The sequence below is a fragment of the Homo sapiens genome, chromosome 10, assembly GCF_000001405.40.
Source record: "Homo sapiens chromosome 10, GRCh38.p14 Primary Assembly".
Classification (NCBI taxonomy): Eukaryota; Metazoa; Chordata; class Mammalia; order Primates; family Hominidae; genus Homo; species Homo sapiens.
Genome location: NC_000010.11, coordinates 95,117,215 through 95,124,054, shown reverse-complemented (window position 1 = coordinate 95,124,054; position 6,840 = coordinate 95,117,215). Strand labels below are relative to the sequence as shown.

Sequence of the window (6,840 nt, the reverse complement as noted above, 5' to 3'; positions counted from 1 at the left end):
AGAGATAATATTTACCAACAAAAAGGAAGCACAAAACTTTTACTATCACTGAGTCTGCTAGAATTTTTTATTGAGTTTGGCCACCATAGCTATGCAAAGAAGGTTATAAAGGAAAGAGATTTTATATAAGAAAGGATATTTTAGGGGAGGTAAATTCTTGTCCTAAAGAGAATAACTGATTGTTTAAAAAGCGGCATGTTTAGGACAAGTGAGAAAGTTTAAGCATTTTCTAGATGGTATGTGGAAGTCTTGAAAGAATTAATAATTGCAGGAGAGATTTAGCCAAGGTTAACACTAAAGTTACTCTAGCCACAGAATAATGTATTTCTCCCAATCATATCACAAATTATAAAAGATGACCTAGACCTAAAATTATTCCTTAATGGCAAGTCAAGCAGGGAATATAAGTTTTTCTCAAAAAAAAATTGTTGCTTTCATATTAAACTCTCAATTGGGAGAGAAGCCCACACTTTTAGAGCAGTGAGAGGGAGCATGGCTGCAATCATGAGGAAATACAGAGAAGCCATGTGGCCAAGCAAGAATCTGCCTACTGACGATCACACTTCAGTTCCATCAAGGGGTCACAGTCCAAAACTTCAACACCAAAAATACTTTGCTAAAATACCCCCTGTGAATCCAAGGACAAATTTTCAGCTGCAAATAAGACTCTGCACAAAGCATTGGCCCTGTTAAAACATTCAGAAAAGAAGTCTACTGACTGTGCTCAATTTACACTGCAGTTAAAGGAATACCAGCCCACACAGATGAGAAAGAACCAGAGTTTCCAAAAACTCTGGAAATTCAAAAAGCCAGAGTATCTTTTTTTTCTCCAAACAACCACACTAATTCTCAGCAAGGGTTCTTAACCAGGCTGAAATGGCTGAATTGACACATATACAATTTATAATATGGATAGGAATAAACATCATTGAGATTCAGGATACAGTCAACACCCAATCCAAAGAATATAAGGATTACAATAAAATAATACAGAAACTGATGGACAAAATATCCACTATAAAAAAAAGAACCAACATGATCTGATAGAGCTGAGATATACACACAAAAATTTCATAATGCAACCACAAGTATTAACAGGAAGCATAAGGGAGCTTCTGTGGTCCTGGGATTATTTTTTTCTTGGCCTGTTTGTTGGCTAAACAGATATATTTGCTTTGCGATAATTCATTGAGCCATATATTTAGGACATATGCAACAATCTCTATGTATTTTATTCTTCAATGGAAATGGTTATTTAAAAATAAACAACTTGACAGGGGGTGGAGCCAAGATGTCCAAATAGAAACAATGGCAGTCAGAGGCTCCCAACCAGAAGAATAAAAACAGCATGAGAATCTTGCATCAGCAACCAAGGTATCCAGGTTCTATCATCAGAATTGACTAAGCAGTTGGCATCACCCATGGAGAGCCAGGAAAAGCAGGGTGGTGGGTTGCCCCACCTGAGAGCTACATGGGGCAAGGAGAACCCCAACTCCCAACGAAGGGAAGTGGTGAGTGAGCAAGCTACCCAGCCTGTGAAACAGTGCTTTTTCCATTGGTCTGTATAACCCACAGTTCAGAAGACCCCACTTGTGATCCCACACTACCAGGGCCTTGGGTCTCAACCATAGAACTACACAGATTCTCAACAGCAACTCAGCTGGAATCTGCCTAAGATTACCAAGTTCCCAGAAGGAGGGGCAGCCATCATCACTGCAGCTCCCTGTTGTCTAAGCCATTTGAACTCCCTGGGGGAGGGGTGGCAGCCATCAATGCAGCTACTGCCTGCCTAAGAAAACTGAACTCCCTGGGGGAGACATGGCAGCCACCACTGTGGCTGCTAGCTGCCTAAGACACTGAACTCCTTGCGGGGGATTGCAGCAACCATCACTATAGCTCAGGCCATGTTTTTTTCCTGCTGGAGCTGAGGAGACTGGCTTGGTTCCAAAAAGTATTTCCTCACAATGAAGCACACCAGCTGTGCAAACCTTATCCAGACTGCCTTTTTAGGCTGGACCCTGACCCATCCCTCCTCAGTGGGCAGGGCTTCCCTGTAGGAACTCCAGCAACTACAGCCAGGGGCTTACGGACATAGCTCTGATATCCCTGGGCCTGAGTCTCTAAAGGGAGTGGTGGCTATGGTCTCCACAGACCAGTATATTTATTCTTTCCCCCTCCTAGCTCTGAAGAATCTGCATGAGATGAGAATGAACCAGCCCAGATGAATAGGTTTTCCCACAGCACAGCACACCCCCTCCACAAAGGGACAATCAAAGTGCTTCATTAAGCAGGTCCTGGTTCCCATTCACCCCAACTGGCTGAGACACCACAACAGGGGTCACCAGACATCCTATACTGGAGTGTGTCTACTGACATCAGGTTGATGCCCCTTGATGTCAGACATACCAGAGGAAGGAATAGGCACCCATCTTTGCTGTTCTCCAGCCTCCTTGTGTCACATCACCATGTGCTGGAGAGACCCAGATGAATATGGCAGGAAATGGACCCCCAGCAAACTGCTGCAGGCTTATAGAAAAGGGACCTAACTATCGAAAGAAAAACAAACAGAAAGCAACAACAACAGCATCAACAAAAAAGTCCCCACAAAAACCTCATCCAAAGATCAGCAGCCTCAAAGATCAAAACTGGACAAACTCATGAACATGAGAAAGAATCAATGAAAAAATGCTGAAAACTCAAAAAGCCAGAGTGCCTCTTCTCCAAATGATTGAAACACCTCCCCAGCAAAGGCACAGATCTGGACAGGGGTTGAGATGGACAAATTGACAGAAGTAGGCTTTAGAAGGTGGGTGGTAACAAACTTTACTGAGGTAAAGGAGCATGTTCTAAGCCGATGCAAAGAAGCTAAGAAACATAATAAAAGGTTATAGGAGCTGTTAACTAGAATAACCAGTTTAGAGAGAAAGATAAATGACCTGATGGAGCTGAAAAATAAAGCGCAAGAACTTCATAATGCAAAAACAAGTATCAATAGCTGAATTGATCAAATGGAAGAAAAAATATCAGAGCTTGAAGACTATCTTGCTGAATTAAGGCAGACAGACAAGATTAGAGAAAAAAGAATGAAAAGGAATGAACAAAACCTCCAAGAACTATGAGACTATGTAAAAAGACTGAACCTACAACTGATTGGAGTACCTAAAAGAGACGGGGCGAATGGAACCAAGTTAAAAAACACACTTCAGGATATCATCCAGGAGAACCTCCCCAACCTATCAAGAGAGGTAAACATTCAAATTCAGGAAATACAGGGGACCACAGTAAGATACTCCATGAGAAGATCAGCCCCAAGACACATAATTATCAGACTTTCCAAGATTGAAATGAAGGAAAAAATGTTAAGTGCAGCCAGAGAGAAAGGCCAGGTCACCTACAAAGGAAAGCCCATCAGACTAATAGTGGGCATCTCAGCAGAAACCCTACAAGCCAGAAGAGAGTGGCAGCTAAAATGCAACATTCTTAAAGAAAAGAATTTTCAACCAAGAATTTCATATCCAGTCAAACTAAGCTTTATAAGCAAAGGAGAAATAAAATCCTCTTCAGACAGCAAATGCTGAGGGAATTTATCACCACCAGGCTTACCTTGCAAGAGCTCCTGAAGGAAGCACTAAACATGGAAAGAAAAAATTGGTACCAGCCACTACAAAAACACACTGAAATACAAAGACCAATTACACTATAAAAAAACTGCATTAACTAGTGTGCAAAATAACCAGCTAGAATCATGATAGGATCAAATTCACACATAACAATATTAACTTTAAATGTAAATGGGCTAAATGCTCCAATTAAAAGACACAGACTGGCAAATTGGATAGGGTCAAGACTCATTGGTGTGCTGTATTCAAGAGACCCATCTCACATGCAAAAACACACACAGGCTCAAAATAAAATGATGGAGAAAAATTTACAAAGCAAATGGAAAGCAGAAAAAAGAGCAAGGGTTGCAATCCTAGTTTCTGACAAAACAGACTTTAAACCAATGAAGAAAAAAAGACAAAGGGCATTACATAATTGTAATAGATTAATTCAACAAGAAAACATAATTATCCTAAATATATATGCACCTGATACAGGAGCAACCAGATTCACAAAACAAGTTCTTAGAGACCCACAAAGAGGCTTAGATTCCCATACAATAAAAGTGGGAGACTTTAATACCCTGCTGTCAATATTAGACAGATTGAGACAGAAAATTAATGATATTTAGGACTTGAACTGAGCTCTGGAAGCTCTGGATCAAGTGGGCCTGATAGGTGTCTACAGAACTCTCCACCCCAAGACAACAGAATATACATTGTTCTCAGTGTCACATGGCACTTACTCTAAAATTGATCATATAATTGGAAGTAAAACACTCCTCAGCAAATGCAAAAGAACTGAAATTCTAACAGTTTCTCAGACCACAGTGCAATCGAATTAGTACTCAAGACCATACAACTACATGGAAATTGAACAACATAATCCTCAGACTCAGCCCAAAAGCTCCTTAAACTGATAAGCAACTTCAGCAAAGTCTCATTATACAAAATCAACGTGCAAAAATCACAAGCATTCCCATACACCAACAGTAGACAAGCAGAGCAACAAATCATGAATGAACTGTCATTCACAATTACTACAGAGAGAATAAAATACCTAGGAATAGAGCTAAAAGGGTATGTGAAGTGCCTCTTCAAGGAGAACTACAAACCACTGCTCAAGGAAATAAGATAGGAAACATAGAAACAGAAAAACACTTCATTTTCATGGATCGGAAGAATTAATGTCATGAAAATGGCCATACTGCTCAAAATGATTTATAGATTTAATGCTATTCCCATCAAACTATTATTGACATTCTTCACAAAATTAGAAAAATCGAATTTAAAATTCATATGGAACCAAAAAAGAGCCTGTATAACCAAGACAATCCTAAACAAAAAGAACAAAGCTGAAGGCATCACACTACCTGACTTCAAACTATATTACAAGGCTATATTAACCAAAACAGCATGGCACTGGTACCAAAACAGACATATAGACCAATGGAACAGAATAGAGATCTCAGAAATAAGACCACACATCTACAACCATCTGATCTTCAACAAACCTGACAAAAGCAAGCAAAGGGTAAAGTATTCCATATTTAATAAATGGTGCTGAGAGAACTGGCTAGCTATATGCAGAAAATTGAAATTGGATTCCATTTTTAGACCCTGTACAAAAATTAACTCAAGATGGATTAAAGACTTAAATGTAAAACCCAAAACTATAAAAACCCTAGAAAAAAATTTAGGTAACACCATTCAGGACATAGGCATGGAGAAACATTTTATAATGCAATGACCGAAAGCAATTGCAACAAAAGCAAAAATTGACAAATAGAATCTAATGAAAGTAAAGAGCTTCTGCACAGCAAAAGGCAACATACAGTATGGGAGAAAATTTTTGCAATATACCCATCTGACAAAGGTCTAATATCCAGAATTTACAAGGAACTTAAACAAATTTGTAAGAAAAAAAACCCATGCAAAAGTGGGCAAAGGACATAAACAGACATTTCCTAAAAGAAGACATTTATGCAACCAACAAACATATGAAAAAAAGCTCAACATCAGTGATCATTAGAGAAATACAAATCAAAACCACAATGAGATACCACCTCATGCCACTCATATCAAGTCAAGAAACAAAGATGCTGGTGAGGCTGTGGAGAAATAGGAATGCTTTTACACTGTTGATGGGAAGGTAAATTAGTTCAACTATTGTGGAAGACAGTGTGGCAATTCCTCAAGGATCTAGAACCACAAGTACCATTTGACCCAGCAATCCCATTACTGGGCACATACCCAAAGGAATATAAATCATTCTATTATAAAGACACATGCACACATATGTTTACTGCAGCACTATTCACAATAGCAAATATATGGAATCAACCCAAATGCCCATCAAAGATAGGGTGGATAAATAAAATGTGGTACATATATATCATGGAATACTATGCAGCCATAAAAAGCAAAGAGATCATGTCCTTTGCAGGGACATGCATGAAGCTGGAAGCCATTATCCTCAGCACACTAACACAGGAACAGAAAAACAAACACACATGTTCTCACTCATAAGTGGGAGCAGAACAATGTGAACATATGGATGCAGAGAAGTGAAAAACACACACTGAAGCCTGTCAGGGGCGGTGGGGAGAGGGAGAGTATCAGAATAAAACTAATGTATGTGGGGCTTAATACATAGGTTATGGGTTCATATGTGCAGTAAACCACTATGGCACATGTTTACCCAGATGTAACACACCTGGACGTTCTGCACATGTATCCTGGAACTTAAAATAAAATTTAAACCAAAAAAAAACCTCTTGTCAAGCAAGGTTTATGATTCTTTTTGTGGAGCACTTCATGCTGATGACATCTTGTCCATTCATTTAGGCAATGATGGAAAATCTTATTGATGTGAAAAGTCACTGAACAGGGAATTGGAAACCTGGATTTGAAAAAAATGTCTTCTTCTCATTCATAGGTAACGCATCACCTCACTGAGCCATGAGTTCCTTACTCTTAACGATAAAGTAGGGAATTAGAAGAGTGGGTTGCTGAGGTTCCTTCTATCTTTAATTATCTGTAATTCTCTCATTTTATAAAATGATACAGGTGGGAGTCTTATGATAGGAAGGAAGAGGAGAGTAGAGACCTGCATCTCTTAGGGAATAAAGCAGATGATCTAAAGACAGCCAGTGTTCATTTTAACCATAATAAAGGAGTGTGTTTCTTTCAGAGTTTAGAGCAATGTGAATCAGGCATCAAATTGCGGCTTATCTTTGTT

The 6,840-nt window shown here is 39.2% G+C and overlaps 1 long non-coding RNA gene across 1 annotated transcript in view; it reads left to right on the top strand.

Moving 5' to 3' along the window:
* LOC107984257 (uncharacterized) overlaps positions 1-6,840 on the top strand; it is a 125,247-nt gene that overhangs the window by 104,724 nt on the left and 13,683 nt on the right. The window contains exon 8 of the long non-coding RNA XR_007062253.1: positions 6,447-6,537. This is a non-coding gene — a long non-coding RNA (uncharacterized LOC107984257). The remainder of the gene's footprint in view (positions 1-6,446; positions 6,538-6,840) is intronic.